The sequence below is a fragment of the Homo sapiens genome, chromosome 8, assembly GCF_000001405.40.
Source record: "Homo sapiens chromosome 8, GRCh38.p14 Primary Assembly".
Classification (NCBI taxonomy): domain Eukaryota; kingdom Metazoa; phylum Chordata; class Mammalia; order Primates; family Hominidae; genus Homo; species Homo sapiens.
Genome location: NC_000008.11, coordinates 23,454,371 through 23,474,754, shown reverse-complemented (window position 1 = coordinate 23,474,754; position 20,384 = coordinate 23,454,371). Strand labels below are relative to the sequence as shown.

The 20,384-nt window shown below is 44.3% G+C and overlaps 1 protein-coding gene and 1 long non-coding RNA gene across 5 annotated transcripts in view, besides 3 other annotated features; one reads left to right on the top strand and one right to left on the bottom strand.

The window, feature by feature from the left end:
- The window catches only part of ENTPD4-DT (ENTPD4 divergent transcript), a 37,125-nt gene extending 20,141 nt beyond the window's left edge, over positions 1-16,984 (bottom strand). For 2 of the 3 annotated variants that reach the window (NR_186531.1, NR_186532.1), the window contains exon 1: positions 15,401-16,984. This is a non-coding gene — a long non-coding RNA (ENTPD4 divergent transcript). The remainder of the gene's footprint in view (positions 1-15,400) is intronic. The other variant, NR_186533.1, reaches the window with a different exon arrangement.
- Positions 5,028-5,527: an enhancer, noted in NCBI's record as "H3K4me1 hESC enhancer chr8:23326741-23327240 (GRCh37/hg19 assembly coordinates)". NCBI's record gives its function as "activates a minimal SCP1, AML or CMV promoter by ChIP-STARR-seq in naive H9 embryonic stem cells {active_cell/tissue: H9 hESC(naive)}" and the evidence as "EXISTENCE:reporter gene assay evidence [ECO:0000049][PMID:30033119]".
- Positions 16,895-17,574: a silencer, noted in NCBI's record as "silent region_19024". NCBI's record gives its function as "represses an Ori minimal core promoter by ATAC-STARR-seq in GM12878 lymphoblastoid cells {active_cell/tissue: GM12878}" and the evidence as "EXISTENCE:reporter gene assay evidence [ECO:0000049][PMID:35858748]".
- ENTPD4 (ectonucleoside triphosphate diphosphohydrolase 4) overlaps positions 17,108-20,384 on the top strand; it is a 28,486-nt gene continuing 25,209 nt past the window's right edge. For both annotated transcript variants that reach the window (NM_001128930.3, NM_004901.5), the window contains exon 1: positions 17,108-17,198. The gene's annotated coding sequence lies outside the window, so the exon portion shown is untranslated. The remainder of the gene's footprint in view (positions 17,199-20,384) is intronic.
- Positions 19,440-19,941: an enhancer, noted in NCBI's record as "NANOG hESC enhancer chr8:23312327-23312828 (GRCh37/hg19 assembly coordinates)". NCBI's record gives its function as "activates a minimal SCP1, AML or CMV promoter by ChIP-STARR-seq in naive H9 embryonic stem cells {active_cell/tissue: H9 hESC(naive)}" and the evidence as "EXISTENCE:reporter gene assay evidence [ECO:0000049][PMID:30033119]".

The following is a 20,384-nucleotide window of genomic DNA, read 5'->3' as shown; positions in this document are numbered from 1 at the left end:
GCTGCAGTGACTGTGCCACTACACTCCAACCTGGGTGACAGAGCGAGACCCTGTTTCAAAAAAGCAGGAGTGCAGGGTACTGGATAGACATAATATCAGATACCCTCATCAGACAGACACAGAGGTCGGGAACGAGAGTGAAGGTGATACTGAGTCCCTCCAGAGGCTGGATTTGGACTTCTGGTGGTCACTGAGGAAGACAGGCATATGGGGCAAGATGAGGTTGGCACTGGCTTCTTAGGGAAACCCTCAAGTCACTCTTGAGTACCTGGAATACCTGGGTGGGGCCGTGGTCACAGCGCCATCTAGTGCCATGTCATGACGTAGCCGGGAAGCCAAGGGGGAAGATGCCCCCTTGAGCTCCTTTTGCTCCAAACAGCGTGGTCTACGAGGGGCAAGGGGCCGCTTGACAAATATTTGTAGGCAGCGGGGACATTTGGAGAGAAAAAGCTAAGGAAGATACAATGGCAGTTCTTGGCTATTTGAAGAACTGACCTCTGGGAGAGGGATGAAACTCACAGAACTAGCACCCTTAAGGGGAGCTAGAGGAAATTTGGGGTGAATGATGACAACTAGAACTGTCTAATGAAGAAACGGGCTTTCTTCCGAGGGAATGAATTCCCATCCCTGAAAGTGTTTAAGCTGTGATTTGGATGCCTTTAGTCAAAGATACGATATAAAGTCTCCTATATTGAGTGCAAGATCAAGCCACAACACGTTTAAGGTAGCTTCCAGATTATAATTATATGAGTTATTCACACTCTGAATGAGGAAGAAATCATTCACCGAATGGTGCAGTAGCTAACTTTGTCTTCAGTGTCCTTTCGCCTCCTTTTTGGGGCTCCTTTTTCCTGTCTCCAGGCACCTCTATTTCATACTTGGAAGCTCGAAGCTCTCATGAGGTCTACCGGCTCCCAGGCTTGCTTTCTAGACATAATAATATCCCCGTTGCAAAATTCATCCTCTTCTTCCCATAAAAACTTCTAGGATCTGACATACAGCCTATGATCAACAAATAATCCAGATGTCAACTCGCCTCTTGAATGTCAGAATTCAAGAAACGGAGCTCTGTTTGAGGAGCTATAAACTTAGTTATAAACAGCCAATATCATACATTTTTATTTAATTTATTTTTTTGAGACAGAGTCTCCCTCTGTCGCCCAGGCTGGAGTGCAATGGTACAATCTCGGCTCACCGCAACCTCCACTTCCAGGTTCAAGTGATTCTCCAGCCTCAGCCTCCTTAGTAGCTGAGATTACAGGTGCCCACCACCATACCCAGCTAATTTTTGTATTTTTAGTAGAGATGGGATTTCACCATGTTCGCCAGGCTGGTCTTGAACTCCTGACCTCAAATGATCTGCCCACCTCGGCCTCCCAAAGTGCTAGGGTTACAGGCATAAGCCACCATGCACGACCGATCATACATTTTTAATTACTTTTCATTTAGTAGCTTCTGTGTTCACTGTTAAATGTGTTTTCATTAATCTTGTCTCCTCCAGTTATTTTGTTAGACCCTGTGGGCAACAGTTTGTAATATAATCTTCTGAATCCTCCACAAAATTTGGTGTTTCAGTAATAGAATAGTTGATGAAGATCAATGTTTGCAAATTCCATTAGTGAGTTTGTTCCTCTGCATGGAGGATGTCAGGCGCTGTGATAGACAAGAACATGTAAAGGTGAATAAATAGAGCTCCAATTCACCTAGAATAGAAGTAAGATATAAAGCGCCTACTAAGTGCCAGAAACTGTGCCACACACATGACACAGCATTACTGCATTTTACTCAGGCAGTTTCATGAGGCAGGGATGGATTTCTAGTTTCATTTCATAAACTAGAAATTGAGGCCCGGAGAGGACTTTGCCTAGAAAGTAAGAGCCAAAACTCAAGCCCAATTTAGTATGCCTCTCCTTTTCCTATAAACAAATAAACAAAATAAATTACAAAACAAATTAGTTTTTACTGGAGAAGGTGCACGTTTCCTTTTGGGAGTCCCCAGAAACAAAAGGACCACATTTTCCCTAGGATTGGACCCAGGGAATGGAGAAGCAAAAACTTTCTAGTTTAGTCTTGATGGATACTCCAATGGAATCAGGCAAAACCAGGGGTGGGAGTGGCCGTGTCTGATGGAGGCGACTCTTGTCACCTCCCTGTCCCTGGCCACTGAGGCACCTCTGGACCGCTTCCTGCCGCCTTGCTGCCCCGCGGTGGAGAGCGCGAGCTCGGACGCCATCTAGTGGTGAGTCCGAGGCTTCACTGGAGGGCTCAAAGAGGATCTGGTGCCAACATGCGTTCATGATTCGCGAAGAGCTGGGATTCAGAGTCAAATGCAGTGGGTCCTGAATCCCAGGTCAGAGCCCATCATAGCATCCCAAAAGAAAGCCACTTGCTGCCTGTGTTGCGCTCAGTTCCATATTCCGGAGCTCAGTGGCTTCTCTCCACCCACACCCTTAACTTCCAGGCTTCTGGGAGAGATGCTCTCCTTATCCTTGTTTGTATTACACTTCCATTCATGTTAGTCACAAGTGAAAAACAAAAGCCTCAGCTAACCAAGTCTTGCAACTCCAAGACACACAGACACAGACACACAGACACACAGACACACACACACACACACACACACACACACACACACACTACAACTGTGGCAGGATCATTCATCACGCAGCCTCTCTAGGGGAACTTTTGCTAAATACAAGATCTAGGCGAGAAAAATCCAATACTCTGGGGAGGCGGATGGATGAGGCCCACCAAGGAGGAAGATGTCCTTGCAAAAGGAAGCTCTGCACACAGAGCCTAGGAACCAGAGACATTCTAAGCAGGTCCACCTTGAGGGCCTCGCTCCTACTCTCATCCCCTCTCTCTGCCTGACGCCATGCCAGGTCATGCCTCTGCCCTAGCCCCACCTTCCCACAGTAGCAGGCAGTTGTGCCGAGCTTGAAGAAGGGAGGCAGGCCTGGCCCTGGGGTCACAGGTTATGGACAGCCAGGCTGCACGGTATCCCAGAGAGCTTTCTCTGAATGCCTCCAGGGGATGAAGAGTTCTCTGAGCTCATTTTAATACTTGACTCACCCAATTTAGTCACTTGTTATATAAGTGGATAAATAATGTTATATGTTCCATGGGTGCATATATATACATTTTTAATTTTTTATTTCTATAGGTTTTGGGGGAATAGGTGCTATTTGGTAAAATGAGTAAGTTCTTTAGTGGTGATTTGTGAAATTTTGACGCACCCATCTCCCAAGCAGTCTAACTCAACCCAATTTATAGTCTTTTATCCCTTACTCCCTTCCTATCCTTTCCCCCTGAGTCCCCGAAGTCTATTATGTCTTTCTTAGGATGCATATATTTTTAATTAAAGAAATATATTCCCATTTTAGGTCTTGTAGTAGCCAAAATAATCCCTCTCTCCACCTCTCTCACTCCCACGCACGTCCCTGACCTAATCCTTGGATCCTATAATACATTACCTTACATAACAAAGGGGATTTTACAGATTGATTAAGGTTAAGGACCTTGAAATGGGAGATTAGCTTGGATTACCCAGGTGAGCCCAATGTAATCACGTGAGTCCTTTAACATCGGAGAGACTTTCCAGGCTTTGGGAAGAGAGAGTTGACCTTTGCTGACTGTGAAGATGGAGGAAGAGGCCCAAACAGCAACCAAGCAACGATCTCTGGAATTTGGAAGTGGCAAGGGTGGTCTCTGGAAGTTGGAAGTGGCAAGGAAGCAGATTCCCGCTACAGCCTCCAGAAGGGTATGCAGCCTTGTGGCTGGTGAGACCCTTTTAGGCCCATGTCAACCTAACTGTAGGGTAATAAACTTGCATTGTTTTAAGCCACTAAGTTTGTGACAGTTTGTTAGAGAAGCAATCAAAGCTATTAATAGAGGTCTCACTTAGGCTTTACGATCACACAGTTTCATTTAACATCAAAGCACGAACTGCCTGGAGCTATGCTGCCTCTCAGAGACTTTGCATTATGGTAGGCCACATTTTTGGATTTTGCTTCAGGACCTAAGAGGAAAGGCATCATTTCTGTTAATAATCTACTTTATTACTCAGAAACCAGAAGATCTACTCTGTTCCACCTAACGGAGATGGCCGCTAGTGCTCCAATGAATGTCTTCAGACCCTTCAAAGAGATCTCAGCTAGGGGCCTTTGGAAATGGCCTCTGTGCCTTTTATGGTTAACTAGAACATATCCCGTGAATATGTTCTGTAGAGAGGGCAAACCCTTGAGAAACACACACTGAATCATAAAATTGTCCACACCTCCCAAATGCAGTAATTCCATTCTTGGGAATTCATTCTAAGGCACTTAATTTCAAAGGTTCTAAAAAATGTGCATGCAAATTTTTATGATAATATTATCTACAATAGTAAAAACAGCAAAGGAAACAGTCAAAATTCAAACTAAATGAAACCTTTAATAAATTATGATTCTCTGCTGGTACGGAAACATTAAAAATTATAATTGTTTTTACTCTAGAAGCATAGGGAAATGTTCCTATTACACTCAATGAAAGCAGTGTATTAAAAAATAGCATTCAGGCCAGGCACCGTGGCTCATGCCTGTAATCTGAGCACTTTGGGAGGCCAAGGTGGGCAGATCACTTGAGGCTAGGAGTTCGAGACCAGTCTGGCCAACATGGTGAAACCCCATCTCTATTAAAAATACAAAAATTAGCCAGGCAAGGTGGCGAGTGCCTGTAATCCCAGCTACTCAGGAGGCCAAGGCATGAGAATCACTTGAACCCTGGCCAGCAGAGGTTGCAGTGAGGCAAGATCATGCCACTGCACTCCAGCCTGGGCAACAGAGCGAGACTCTGTCTCAAAAAAAAAAAATATTTATTCAATAATCATTTGTTGGCCACATGCTATGTATCAAGTATTGCACCAAGCACCAAGTAATGAAAGGGCACCAAAATAAATACATTCACTGCCCTTGTAGATTGAAGTATGCCACAATGGCAAAAATGTAAAGTGATCTATTCAGGTGGCCAGTGACATACCAAAAAAAAAAAAAAAACAAGCAAGTTGTTTTGTTAGAGTATAGTTAATATTCTAATTAACTTTCTTACATTACCTTTTCAGTTATGATAATTATATTAAAGCATAGGGCAGAAAGAAAACACAGACCTCTTGATCCAAGTCACGATGCAGTGGACTCCTCACTGAGGAAGCCGGCCCTGAAAGCATTGTTTAGAAACACAACAAACAACAGCCTCTTCCCCAGCAGGGGAGCAGGAAGCCAGCTGTACACACAGGTCACTCCCAGGGGGTGGTCAGCTTTGGGAGGCCACCTTTGAGCCTGAACTGACACCCTCTGTGTATGTGTATCTGGGAAACTTTCATAGGACTGACTAAGCATGGCCCTGAAAGACAGTAACTCCTGTCTCTGCCTGTCCCCCAGCTGCTGAGAGGATAACTATGAAAGCAGATGTGTTGGCCGGGCATGGTGGCTCACGCCTGTAATCCCAGCACTTTGGGAGGCCGAGGCGGGTGGATTATGAGGTCAGGAGATCGAGACCATCCTGGCTGACATGGTGAAACCCTGTCTCTACTAAAAATACAAAAAGTTAGCCAGGTGTGGTGGCAGGCGCCTGCAGTTCCAGCTACTCGGGAAGCTGAGGCAGGAGAATGGCATGAACCCGGGAGGCGGAGCTTGCAGTGAGCCAAGATCGCGCCACTGCACTCCAGCCTGGGCGACAGAGCAAGACTCTGTCTCAAAAAAAAAAAAAAAAAAAAAAAAGAAAGCAGACGTGCTGCCTTGCTCATCATCGTTTTTATGCTGCTGTCGGTGTGGGGCAAGCCACATACACTGCCCTCCATCTCCCTTAGTGGACAAGGAGACTCTGAGCTTGTTCGTTTCTTTTTTGTTTGTTTGTTTTGTTTTTGAGACAGAGTCTCCCTCTGTCGTCCAAGCTGCAGTGCAATGGCATGATCTTGGCTCACTGCAACCTCCGCCTCCCGGGTTCAAGCAATTCTTCCATCTCAGCTGCTCGAGCTGGGATTACAGGCAGCCACCATCACGCCTGGCTAATTTTTGTATTTTTTAGTAGAGATGGGGTTTCACCATGTTGACCAGGCTGGTCTTAAACTCCTGACCTCAGGTGATCCACCAGCCTCAGCCTCCCAAAGTGCTAGGATTACAGGGTGAGCTTGTTCATTTCTAAAGTGCTTTCTGAAACTGCAGCTACCGGAGCTGTCCTGGGCTCTAGGCCAAGTAAGAGGAAACCCAGGTAGGCACAGCCCCTGACCACTGGATTCGAATCTGAAGACACCTTTAGGATGGTACAGACATGAAGAACATTTGGATCACCAAACAACTATGGAGCAAATGACATGAGTGAAAGAGAGACTCGTTAGCAATGTACATTAATTGTCCAACAAGTAGCATAGTTTGATTAGGAAGGGCATTTATAGAGATGTGTTATTCTCCCTTGACTTACCATCCACTATCATATTAGGAGGCGCGGTTTAATAATGATTCACAGTGGACTTTGTATCAATTCTTATTACATATCAAGCTTTGTACTTAGCACTTCATTTGGATTATTTCATTTAATTCTCACAGCAATCCAAACAGGTGGATAATGCTATCTCCATTTACCATTGAGAAAATGGGAGCTTAAAAAAGTAATAACATGGCCAGGCACAGTGGCTCATGCCTGTAATCCCAGCACTTTGGGAGGCCAAGGCGGGTGGATCATTTGAGGTCAGGAGTTTGAGACTAGCCTGGCCAACGTGGTGAAACCCCATCTCTACTAAAAATACAAAAATTAGCGGCGTGTAGTGGTACACACCTGTAATCCCAGCTACTTGGGAGGCTGACGCAGGAGAATTGCTTGAATGTGGGAGATGGAGGTTGCAGTGAGCCAAGATTGTGCCACTGCACTCCAGCTGGGTGACAGAGTGAGACTCTGTCTCAAAAAAAAAAAAAAAAAAAAAAGTAATAACTTGCCCAATGTCTCATAAGTGACTAATGGTTCAGTTCTTGGAAGTCCAGGTTGAGGACTTCATGCATTGTCATTACAATTGGAACTTTGTGTCTGGTTATTTCTACTTGTTCTTCCAAATCCAGCACATGAAACAGCCCACCCTTCCCTCCCACTGCCCCAACTCCAACCAGTCTCCAGCCTTCTGTGCTCTGTGTCTCTGTGATCTGTGATTGCTGCCCATGTGATGTCCCTGCTGCCAGCCCCTTGGTCTTAGACCTCCCAGTCTCTAGGATCATGAGATAATACATTTTTTCTTTCCTTCTTTTTTTTTTTTTTTTTTTTTTTTTGGGACAGAGTCTTGCTCTGTCACCCAGGCTGGAGTGCAGTGGTGCGATCTGGCTCACTGCAACCTCCGCCTCTTGGATTCCAGCGATTCTCCCACCTCGGCCTCCTGAGTAGCTGGGACTACAGGTGTGTGTCGCCATGCCCAGCTAATTTTTATATTTTTAGTAGAGAAAGGGTTTCGCCATGTTGGCCAGGCTGGTCTCGAACCTCTGACCTCAAGTGATCCGCCTGCCTCAGCCTCCCAAAGTGCTGAGATTATAGGTATGAGCCACCTCGCCCGGCCATAAATTTGTTTCTTTTAAAATCTAAATTTCATTATAAATTACCCAGTTTGTGGTATTCTGTTAGAGCAACACAAAATGGACTAAGACATTCCCCATTTCTGGGTATACATCCAAAGGATTAAAAGCAGAGTCCCAAAGACACATTTGTATACCCATATTCATAGTGGCATTATTCACAATACTCAAAGGTGGAGGCTACCCAGTGTCCATCAACAGATGAATAGGTAAATAAAATGCAGTATATCCATACAGTGGAATATTATTTGGTCTTAAAGAGGAAAGACATTCCAACGCATGCTGCAACACAGATGAACCTTGAGAACTTTATGCTAATTGAAATAAGCCAGTCACAAAAAGACCAATGCTGTAGAGTTCCACATATATAAGGTATCCAGAGTAGTCAAATTTATAGGCAGAAAGCAGACTGAGGGTTGCCGGGGGATGAAGAGAGAGGAATGGGGAGTCGTTTAGCAGGTACAGAGTTTCAGTTTTGCAAGATGAAAAACTTCTGGAGATTGGTGGCACAATAATATGTATACACATAACATTACTGAAGTGTACACTTAAAAATGATCAAGATGGGCAGGGTGCGGTGGCTCACGCCTGTAATCCCAGCACTTTGGGAGGTTGGAGCATGAGGATCATTTGAGCCCAGGAGTTTGAGGTTACAGTGAGCTACTATTGTACCACTGTACTCCAGCCTGGGTGACAGAGACTCTGTCTCTAAATAAATAAATAAATAAATAAATAAATTTAAGATGGTAAATTTTATGTTATGTGTATTTTACCACAATTTTTTTTAACAAAAGAGGAATCCTTCCTCCTCTTCACATTTATCGTTCTCTTTGTGTCTTCAGTCACATCTCATGCCACCTCTTCCAGGAGGTTTATTCATTCCTTCTGCGTTCTCCACTCTGGGATTGCCACAAACATTTGGAGGGTCAGGGCTAAGAGGACACACCCATGTTTTAAGATGTTTAAAATGATAAATTCAGATAAACTAGTAAATCAAATGTTATAGCCCCTCTAATTTTTACTTTTTTGCATTTATTTTTAAATCTATATATTAAATCTATATATCTTTGTAACAACAACATGGAAAAGTCTGTAATACTGTGGTTTCTGTAAGACTGAAAGTCAGGCAAGTATCAAGGCTCAAGCTCTGTCCTGAAGCCCCACACTCCCCACTCATCCTCCCAGCTGCTCAGGCCAGCCCACAGCCTTGGGCAACAGCAGAGGCTTCTACAGTCAAGGCCATAGGGCTACATTTTCCTGGGGTAGCTACAGAGCTGCTTCTAGGGCGTGGGACCTGTGCAGTCAGTCACAGATGGCTGGCACTTAGAAAAGCCCTGCACTGATCGGATCATGAGGTCAGGAGTTCGAGACCAGCCTGACCAACATAGTGAAACCCCATCTCTACTAAAAATACAAAAATTAGCCAGGCATGGTGGCACGTGCCTGTAGTCCCAGCTGCTCGGGAGGCTGAGGCAGAAGAATTGCTTGAACCCGGGAGGCAGAGGTTGCAGTGAGCCGAGATCACACCACTGCACTCCAGCCTGAGCAACAAGAGTGAAACTCCATCTCAAAAAAAAAAAAAAAGAAAAGAAAAGAAAAGAAGGCACAATTGGGAAACAAGCAAATAGTCCATTAAACATGTTAGAACACAGCGAAAATATATATAGGGAAGTGTCTGGACATCAGGCTTAAAAGTTGAAAGCAACTTAACCATGGCCTTGGGGTGTCATGCCAAGGAGACTAGTGTGAAGCCATCCTGTCCATGACATCTGGTCACCTCATCGATTTGCAGTTGATTTGCTCAGGAATTTCAACCTTAACTTAAAGGTGATGGTGCAGTAGGGAAGGATGGTGAGAGGAAGAATGGTATGTTATCTGGTGTGAGAAAGGAACAGAGAGAGGTTTAAGGTGTCCAATAAACTACCCACTGCTTCCTGCTTAAGTCTGAATAATTTTAGAAATGAAACAAAAACTATATGAAAACCTGTGAAAGGAAAATATCTTGGGGCCCCAAAATCACTAAGCCAAAGGGAAAATTCAAGCTGGAAACTGCTCAGGGCAAACCTGCCTCCCATTCTACTCAAAGTCATCCCTCTGCTCACTGACATAGAGGCATATTCTGATTGCCTCCTTTAGAAAGGCTTATCAGAAACTCAAAAGAATGCAACCCCTTTTCTCTCACCTACCAGTGATCTGGAAGACCCCTCCTTGCTTTGAGTTGTCCCCACCTTTCTGGATGGAACCAATGTATGTCTTACATATATTGATTGATGTCTCATGTCTCCCTAAAATGTATAAAATGAAGCGGTGCCCCAGCCACCTTGGGCACATGGCGTCAGGATTTCCTGAGGCTGTGCCATGGGCGCACATCCTCAACCTTGGCAAAATAAACTTTCTAAATTAACTGAGACTTGTCTCTGATTTTCTGGGTTTACAAACCAAAGTATCATCTTTATCACAGATGAAGCTGATATTGAAAAATGGAGCTTTTATCTAATCAGAACAACATTGACTCGTGCCAGTCATCATGATCAGGAGACAAAATTACCTTGCTTAACCAGGCCAGGGTCATAATTTCTGACCCAAATGGACCAAATATGACCTGAGTATATTCCTTCAGAAATCTGAGGTACTGTTACCAAAACTAGAGTGATGGGGCCCGAGCAGCAAAAGCAACTATGTCTGCTGCCTACGTGTGTGTGTGTTTTGTGTGTGTGTGTGTGTGTGCATGTGTTTGTGTGTTCAATTACCCATCTCCCATGTGACTCCTTTATGGTACAGTTTGATCACTCTGCTTTGATGAGAAAAGTTTGGAGTAAACCCAGGATTTAGGGCCAGACGTTGTGGCTCACGCCTGTAATCCAAGCACTTTGGGAGGCCAAGGCGGACAGATCACCTGAGGTCGGGAGTTCGAAACCAGCCTGACCAACATAGAGAAACCCCGTCTCTACTAAAAATACATAACAATTAGCCCAGCGTGGTGGCGCATGCCTGTAATCCCAGCTACTCGGGAGGCTGAGGCAGGAGAATCGCTTGAACCCAGAAGGCAGAGGTTATGGTGAGCCAAGATCGCGCCATTGCACTCCAGCCTGGACAACAAGAGTGAAACTTGGTCTCAAAAAATAAATAAATAAATAATTTTTAAAAAAATTTGGAGGAAACCCTGGATTTTGATGTTGCTTTGAACAAGTCACTTTCTCTTTCTCTCCACAACAAAACACCATGAAATAAAAATCCCTTTGCCTTAGGAATGCTGGGCTCATAAATGAGACCATGCCTGTAAAGTGACATGATTTCCTGAAGACAAAGGCTGTGTAAATATATAGGATTATTAGCCAAGCCACTCAAAAATAGTCTGTGCATGAATGTCTTGGAAAGCAAACAGGTCCAAGGAAGAGTAAGAGAACTCCCCATTTCCAAGCGCTGCAGGATTCCTTTGTTTCCTGACATCTAGCATGGTTACCTTCCCCAAACACCCACACACAGCCAGGAGGGACAGGTGAGCCAATTTAGCTTCCTTGGAATGATGGATTAAAACATTTGGAGAGCAGAATTTCAAGCAATTGCCATGTTAGAGGGTTTTCTAGAAAGATAATTAAAGAGAAATCATAATTGGGTTTTAGATATTGATGGTTGTTCATCTGCCCTACTCCATTCATCAACATTCCCATATACACTGTTACAAAGAAATCTCAAGTTCAACAAGAGAAGGAAAGAGGTCTTCTATCTTATGTTTGATTTTTTTTTTTTTAAGTTTTCTTTGGAGACAGGATCTTGCTCTGTCACCCAGGATGGAGTGCAGTGGTGCGATCACAGCTCACTGCAGCCTCAAACTCCTGGGCTCGAGCAATCCTCCCACTTTCACCTCCCAAAGTGCTGGGATTATAGGCATGAGCCCCTGTGCCTGGTCCTTATGTTTTGTTTCTTAAGAAGAAAGAGGCCGGGCATGGTGGCTCACACCTGTAATCCCAGCACTTTGTGAGGCCAAGGCGGGCGGATCACGAGGTCAGGAGATCGAGACCATCCTGGCTAACATGGTGAAACCCCGTCTCTACTAAAAATACAAAAAAATTAGCCGGGCCTGGTGGTGGGTTCCTGCAGTCTCAGCTACTCGGGAGGCTGAGGCAGGAGAATGGCGTGAACCCAGGAGGTGAGCTTGCAGTAAGCTGAGAATGTGCCATTGCACTCCAGCCTGGGTGAGAGAGCTAGACTCCATCTCAAAAAAAAAAAAAAAAAAGAAGAAGAAGAAGAAAGAGAAGGACGGAAAAAAAGAGGGAGAAGAAGAGACTGTCTTAGTTCATTTGTGCCACTATAACAAAGTACCACAGACTGGATAATTTATAAAGGACAGAAATATATTTTCTCACAGTTCTGGAGGCTGGGAAGTCCAAAGCACATTTTCTATCTGGTAAAAACCTGTTCCTCAAAGATTGAGCTATATAGGTATCCTCATCTGACAGAAGGTATGGAAAGACAGAAAGGGGTTGAGTGCTAAGTACTTACAGGGCAGAAGAGCAGAAGAGAGTAAACACGTTTCCTCAAGCCCTTTTATAAGGTCTCTAATCCTACCCATGAGGGCTCCACCCTCATGACTTAATTAATGCTGAGAGGCAGAACCCCTTAATGCTAATCACATTGGTCATTACGTTTCAACACATGAAAACTGGGCGGCACATTCAGACCACAGCAGGGAGGGAAAGGAGAAGAGAGAAAGGGAAAATCTTACTTCTAGTCTTCTCTTTTGCCTCTTAGAAATCATAGATTTTAGACCTGGAAAGAACGTTAAAGGTCAGCTTAGCCATCTCCACAAACCCCTTTCCTTTTACAAATTATATATGGATGGTGAGGACCAGTAAGGCAAACTACAATTTCTAAGCTTACACAGTCTATTGAGGATAAGGATTCAGGTTTCCTGCCTCCCGGCTTGGTACTTTTTACATTAAGTCATCCTGTCTCCCATTTAGTTTTATAACCTTGAGCAAGTCACCCAACCAGTCAACAAATATTTTTAAAGACCTAACAACAAGTAATGGAATATCCAACCAAAAGAAATTTAAACAAATAAAGAGCTTATTTTTCTCTCCTAATAAGAAGTCAGGGGGTAGACACAGTCACTGGTACTAGTTCAGCGGTTTAATGATGCCATCATGGACCCAAACAGTTCTATCTTTCAGTTCCATCGTATTTATTGTTGGCTCTTATCAGGATGACTGTTGTCCCATGGTTGCAAAATGGTCATGTATCTCCAGGTATCACATATTTGTTCAATATTTCATTTAACACTTTTAAAGTCCCATGCACAAAATGAGTTACTTTGATTTTACAACCATGATAGCTGTATTCTTTGTAGATGCTCCATCAAGCTGAGGAAAATCATACCCTTTATAGTTGATAAAGGCTTTTTTTCAAAATTATGAATGGGTGTTGAATTTTGCCAAATTTTTTTTTGCATTGACTGAGATCATACGAATCATATGAATTTTCTTCTTTATTCTGTTTATGTAGTGAATGACATTGATTGATTTTCAAATGTTGAGCCAATTTTGCATTCCTCAAAAAAGAATCCCACCTGGTAATGCTATCTTGCTCTTTCAGATGTCGCTGGATTTGATTTGCCAATTTTGTTTTTGTTTTTGTTTTTTTGAGATGGAGTCTCACTCTGTCACCCAGGCTGGGTGCAGTGGCGCAATCTCAGCTCACTGCAACCTCCACCTCCCAGGTTCAAGCAATTCTCCTGTCTTACCCTCCTGAGTAGCTGGGATTAAAGGTGCCCACCACCTTGCCTGGCTAATTTTTGTATTTTTAGTAGAGATGGGGTTTCACCATGTTGGCCAGGCTGGTCTCAAACTCCTGACCTCAGGTGAGCCACCTGCCTCGGCCTCCCAAAGTGCTGGGATTACAGACATGAGTCATTACACCTGACCTTGATTGGCCAATATTTTGTTAAAATTTTTGCACCTATGTAAGAAATATAGGTGTGTGATTTTCTTTCCTTTTTATTTCTTGGTATCAGGATTATTCTGAATTATAAATTAAAAAGTGTTCTCTCTTCCTTTGTTCTTTCAAAAGAGTTTATATAAAATCAATATTACCTTTCTTAAATGATTGATAAACATTTACTAGTGAAGCCATCTTGCTCTGGAATTTTCTTTTTAGGACCTTAAAGATATGGGGTGATTCAAATGTTCTATTTCTTCCTGTGCCAGTTTTGGGAAGTTGTATTTTTCAAAGACTTTTTCCATTTAATGTAAATTATCGAAATGATCAGCATAAAGTTATTCATAATGTTTTCTTATTATATTTTCAATTTCTGTATATCTGTAGGGATCTTCCTCTTTTATGCTTGATATTTGTTATTCGTGTTTTTTTGTCCTGCTCAATCTCACTAGGAGTTTAGCAATTTTGTTAATATTTTCAAAGAACCAACTTGTAAGTTGGTTAATGTCTCATATTATTTTTTATTATTTTTTTCCTCCTATTCACTTCGAGTTTAATTCACTTTCTTATTCTAATGTCATAAGGTGGAAACTTAGATAATTGATTTCAAACCTTTTTTCTTTACTAAAATAAACTTTTAAAGCTATAAATTTCTCTTGAAGGACTGTTCTGACTGCATTCCACATATTTTGATGCAGTTTCATTATCATTCTGTATGCCGTGTTTTCTAACGTTCTTACAACCATGCCTGGCATAAAGTACTTAGTAAGTGTTCCCTCCTGTTAGCTCCAGTTTTTGTTTTTTTTTTTTTGAGATGGAGTCTTGCTCTGTCGCCCAGGCTGGAGTGCAGTGGTGCGATCACAGCTCACTGCAAGCTCCGCCTCCCGGGTTCACGCCATTCTCCTGCCTCAGCCTCCTGAGTAGCTGGGACTACAGGCGCCTGCCACCACGCCCAGCTAATTTTTTGTATTTTTTTTTAGTAGAGACAGGGTTTCACCGTGTTAGCCAGGATGGTCTCGATCTCCTGACCTCGTGATCCACCCGCCTCGGCCTCCCAAAGTGCTGATATTACAGGCTTGAGCCATCGCGCCCAGCCTAGCTCCAGTTTTTGTTTCTCTTGTTAACAAGTGAGAATGGGCCCCTTCAGAGCCTCTTTGCTGTTTCCACTGACTGAAATACTATTCCTTCATATAGGCCCAGAATTCTAATAAATTCCCATTCATTGTGCAGGTGTGACCTCAGACAGCGTTACCTCAAAGAAGCTCTCCCTGATGAACCAGACCAGGATGGTCCTCTCATGTACTAAGTTGAATAGTGACCACCCCCAAAAAATTCATGTCCACCCAGAACCCATGAATGTGACCTTATTTGGAAATAGGATCTTTGCAAATATAATCAAGTTAATATGAGATCATAAGATCACACTGGATGAGGGTGAGCCTTGAATCTAATATGGCTGGTGTCTTTATGAGAAGAAAGAAACTTGGAGACAGAGACACAGACACACAGAGATAATACCATGTGACAACAGGGGCAGAGACCAAAGTGATGCATCTACAAGCTGAGGAAGGCCAAGGATGGCCAGTAGCCACCAGAAGCTAGGAAGAGGCAAAGAAGGATCCTCCTCTAGATCTTTAGAGAGAGCACAGCCCTGCTGACACCTTCATTTCAGGCTTCTACCATCTAGAACTGGAAGACAATAAATTATCTTGCTTTAAGCCACCCAGTTTAGGGCAATTTGTCACTGCAGCTCTAGAATGTAATATGCCAAGTTACACGTTTCCATACTTTCCTATATTTTTCTTTCCTAGCTCTTATCAGACAATTATTACATATAAATTATCAGGAAATATGGATGGTGTGATAATACTTACTAGTCTGGCTTTTCTTCTCTCTCTCTCTGAGATGGAGTCTCACTCTGTTGCTCAGGCTGGAGTCCATTGGCGTGATCTCGGCTCACTGCAACCTCCACCTCCCGGGTTCAAGCAATTCTCCTGTCTCAGCCTCCTGAGTAGCTGGGATTACAGGCACAAAAAAGCCACTATGTCCAGCTAGTGTTTGTATTTTTAATAGAGATGGGGTTTCACCATGTTGGTCAGGCTGGTCTTGAACTCCTAATTTCAGGCAATCCACCTGCCTTGGACTCCCAAAGTGCTGGGATTACAGGCATGAGCCACCATGCCCGGCCTAGTCTGGCATTTTAGTAGAGCCCTCCTTAAGGAAGACTAACATAACCCCAACCAGTGTCTCCAATGGCAAAGATTTTGAAAGGCAGATAATTTCGAAGGAGACTGTCCTTAAAATCACAGTATGTCAGTGGCCAGCTTTAGCTTCTCAATGCTAGCCTTGGGTCACAGGGTTTTCTAGTGTGAAAATTATCCAAACGAGTAATTTCTTATAGCAACAGATTGTCAAAAAAAAGACACTGATGCGCAAGTCATGTGGGAGTCTGAAACATTGGTTCTGCTCTCCTCTGCCTCCAGGGGGTCTTGGCCAAGTCACTCAACCTCTCTGGGTTCCAGGCTCTTAACTGTAAAAGAAGGTGATTGGGGCTACACAGTAGAGTCCCTTTGGCTCTAACCTTCTGAGGCTTCATGGTTTCTTCCGTTAACAGTAGCTGAATCCAGGAAGAGGAGGTGACCCAGGCGGGTGCTGGACCAAGAAGGATTCTGTGTTAAGATGTAGAACTGCCAGTTCTGTCTATGCTTGTTTTACTTGATAAATGGAATGGAGTAGACGTTTCTAGGGCTCTTGTTTTTAAAAATCTTTTAAAGTGGCTGGATTGCTGGTCACTTCCTATCTCTGGGCCACAGTGCATTCACCTGTATACAAGGTGGAAGAAAGGATGGAACCCGGGATTCCCAAGGTCTCTTCCGGCTCTCAAGTGCAAAGTTCTGTGTCTTCAAAGCAGTTTATTGCTAAGCCAGAGAGCTAAGAGAGCTTAGCCTTGTACTAAGTGTAGGTCATGGGGTCAATCTCAGGAACACCCTTCGCTTTATTTCTTCTCATAACCATTGCGTGTGTTGGGGAGGGCTGGGGCAGTCTGCCTCCCCCAACATAGGCACTAACATATGCCATCGACGGGCAAGAATGAAATCCTGGCTCTACCTCTCACGAATCAGGTGGATCTCAAGAGAGACTGAATAAGTGTGAGCCTCCGTTTCCCCATCTGTGAAACAGGGAGAGTTACCGGCAAAGGTGTAAATGTCAAGAGTTGAGCAACAATGCCTAGTCCTTACCAGGTTTTCAAGCGCTATTTTCCATAACCGTTAGGAGCGCTAAGGAAAGATAAACTGCGGTGTCCTAAGTACGCTGAGGCTCGCTGACGACCAGACGAGCACCACGCCACAGTACTGGGTGCCTCCGTGCTCCCACGTCCACATTTCCCGTGCACAGCACACTGGCGTGGCCGCGCGGGTCCACGGAACAGCCCAGCGCTCGGACGCCAATCATCCCGCATCAGGCTCCGCCCCCCAGCGCTCAACGCGCCCCTCGGCGTGCGCGCTCCCGCCGCCAGCGGGCGCGCTCCGGGCGCAGGCGGTGACGTGTTGCCGGCGGGGGCCGGGCGGGGGTGCGGCTCCAGGAAAGGAGCGCGGCCTCCAGGAAGCCGGCTGGCCGTGATGCTGCCCACTGGTGGTCCCCCGCTCCCGGGGTCCCCGGCCGGCCAAGCAGGTGAGGTTGCCTTCCGAGCGTGGGTGAGGGGAGGGCGGGCGGCCGAAGGGGCCGGCGAGTGGGTTGGAGTGCGGGGGCCGGCGGCGCGGCGAGCGGGCCGCGGACGAGCCTCTCTGCCCCAGGCCCCCACAGCCGCCTGCTTAGCCCCGCGGACCGGTTCCCGCCTCCCCTGCCGCGCGGCCACATCCGAGCGCCCCGGGACCAACCCCTGTGAGCCCTGGCGGCCGGCGCGCTCCCCCAGCCCCTGGCAGGGGACACCTGGCGGTCGCGCGCCTCGGGTGACCGCTCGGGATCCCCCCCTCGAATGGGCGGAGCTTGACCGGGCAGCAGGGATGCTGCACCCGGGACCCAGCCGGCCCTGCCTGCCGCTTTAAATGATGACATTCGCTCGTCTTGTCGTTTTCGCTTTGCTTTGCTTTTGCCAGATTTCATGTTAGATTTCTTCTTGGAAAAATGGAGCTTATTGGGCAGTAAAGTGATGATGCACAGCATTGTTTCTGAACTTGAGTAATGCGCGGACCCCTTTTAAAGGAACAATTCTCTCATGGTCTAGAATGTGTCCCAGAACCCTTAGGGTGCTTCAGACCCCAGTTAGATGAACCCTAGTGCAGAGCGTTTTCAGAGAACACTTATCACGAAGGAAACTAAAGAGATCCTTTATGATTCAGGAACTTTCAGGCTAGAAGGTAAACTAGAGGTAATGGAAGAATTCTAAATTAGACACTCAAAGCCCAGGCTAATTTCGCATTGCAGTCTTTGTTGTCTCCTTTTTGTGATGAAAATACCAAATTATCCAGCTTTAGAGAGGCCTAAAAGAGTTATATTATTTGTGTTACCATATATTTGATGTTTTTGTATCAGGTTTGTTAATTCTGTTTGACATAGTAGAATTATAAAATGGAACACTAATTCGTGTAGTTGAATCGTTTATTTCTCTGTTTACCTTAACAGAGGTCTTGTAGTTGTTGCATGTTGAATCTATGGCTTATATTCTTCTACCTCTAATAGGAAATGTGTGACTGAGGCCCTTGAGGATATAGTCTAGGAAGGAGACAAAAATGAACATTTATCTAAGGATTTATATTCTCTACGTATTTACTCAGCATGTTTATTTAAAATAGACTACTCATGAATAAAGAGACGATTCCAATTGTAAGAAAACATCAGGATGTGTAACAGGTTAAATCTTGACAAAGAAACATGTTGACTTGTGCCTTGAAAGAAGTGTAGTCTTGAGAGGAGGACACGGTGGTGGCTCGGAGGAAGTGCTGTTAGTAAATGCCTGAGGCAGGCATGGAGACAGCTTGTGTGGGAGAGAAGAGAGAGACCTGCTGCACTGGAGCTGAGAGATGGTATCTGGGACTGATGAGAGGATAGGTTGGTGAGATAAGGTGGACCAGTTGATGGATAAAAGGTTTCAGGTGCCACACAGGAAACTTGGTGTTGATCCATGGCCTTCCAGAAGGTTCTTAGCTGATCATATTTTGAAGGCCGTGTTTTACAAAGAGTTGCTTGTAAAGTGTGGCGTGCACAGTGAAGGCAGAAGGTGGGTGAGTCGCCAAGAGATCTGTCTTGAGGTAGTGGTGCCTGCTGTGGTCATCTTAGATATGAGGGATATCTGAGGAAGAATCGACTGGCTTGGAGAATGATAGAAGATTGTCAACACCGGATGTGGGAATCAAAGCTGAGAACCAGGTAATCCAGGTCAATGGGGATTGGTGGTACCCGTCTTAGACCTGGAGAATTTGGAGGGTGGTATTAGAGTTTGCATTAGAAGATTTCAACCCTAGAGTTGGACTAGTTGAGCTTGCAGTAACAGGGCTTCAATGAGCTTGGAACGTGGAACTGGAACTTGAGGAAAGTCAGAGTTAATTCAGGAAAAGTGACCAGAAAAAGACTACTTAAAATGGGAACCAGAATTTTGCAAATTAATAGAGGGAGGAAGAGGTTAAGATTTTATATTGAAAAATAAAATTAAAATGTGTAAGATAAATATTGAACATACAGATCATAAATGCAACTACATACATATCTTCTTAAAGAATGAATCAAGTTGTCTTCATGTATCTTTTGTCACTACTGAGTAACGGTGCCACCCGGCAGCCTCCACATCAGCCTCTCACTCTCAGAAAGACAGTTGTTTCTTGCAAAACGCTGCCGGAATGGTTGAGAGCATCTTTAATTTTTCCAGGTTCTCTTGAATCCTTTGATATTCAAATCATTCTTTTCTGAAGTACCCTTCCCTGTGGTACCTTTGCTTATTCAGAAGCTGAGCTCTCCCAGAGGCTGACTTCTCTGTGATTTTGTTTGCCTGTGATTTGAGTTCACTAACATCTGTTTCCTTGCATCTTGTGTTTTTCCACCAGAGGAACCATTTCCCTTTGTGGTTGATTTGCATTGTTTTCGTCGTTATCTGTAGAACTGTCAGTGAGAGACTGACAAAGACATTGACACCTGACTGTAGGCTTTATTCCAATAATGTTCAGCCAAGTAGGGCCCCACTAGCTGAAATCATGAGAATTAATGCATCTCTCTGGTGATAGGTCTAACACAATTTAGGCTTTTTTAAAACATGTCAGTTTTATGTGGTATTACTGAATTTGCCTCCCAGTGCCCTGGTGCGAAGATTCTTAGCTAGAAGGACAATTGGAGTTTACATTTGAAGATCAAATTACCATTTAACTCTTAGGCAATAATCCATTGTACTTTTGTCCTGAGTTAAAATTACAGTGCTTCAGCAGTTATAAGCTGTCCTATTTTCTCTGCTTTTAAACACAAGCTTTGTAACTTAAAATATCTGTTTGTCCTTTTGATCAAAATCATCACATATCTCAAAAAAAAAAAATTCCTGAGACAAACCTCAGATGACACAAAGTTTCCTAAGTGCGCTGTGATCATTCTCTCGGTCACCTTCCTCTTCGAAGTGTGTTCTTTCTCACCCCATCTAGAATTGACCTCCCACCTCTAGGAATCTTTTCCTGCTAAAGCTAGCCTTCTCTGTGCTCTTCTCTGAGCTCTTATAACAAGAATCCCAGTAATTTAACATTGCCTTTAATTAGTATCTTGACTATTTTCTGGGCATTAGTATTTTCTCTGTAGCAATCTGCAAACTCCATGAAATTTGGAGTTGGGTTTGTTACTCCTCATGTCACCTTCGTAGTCCTGACTTTCTTCCTCAAGGACCAG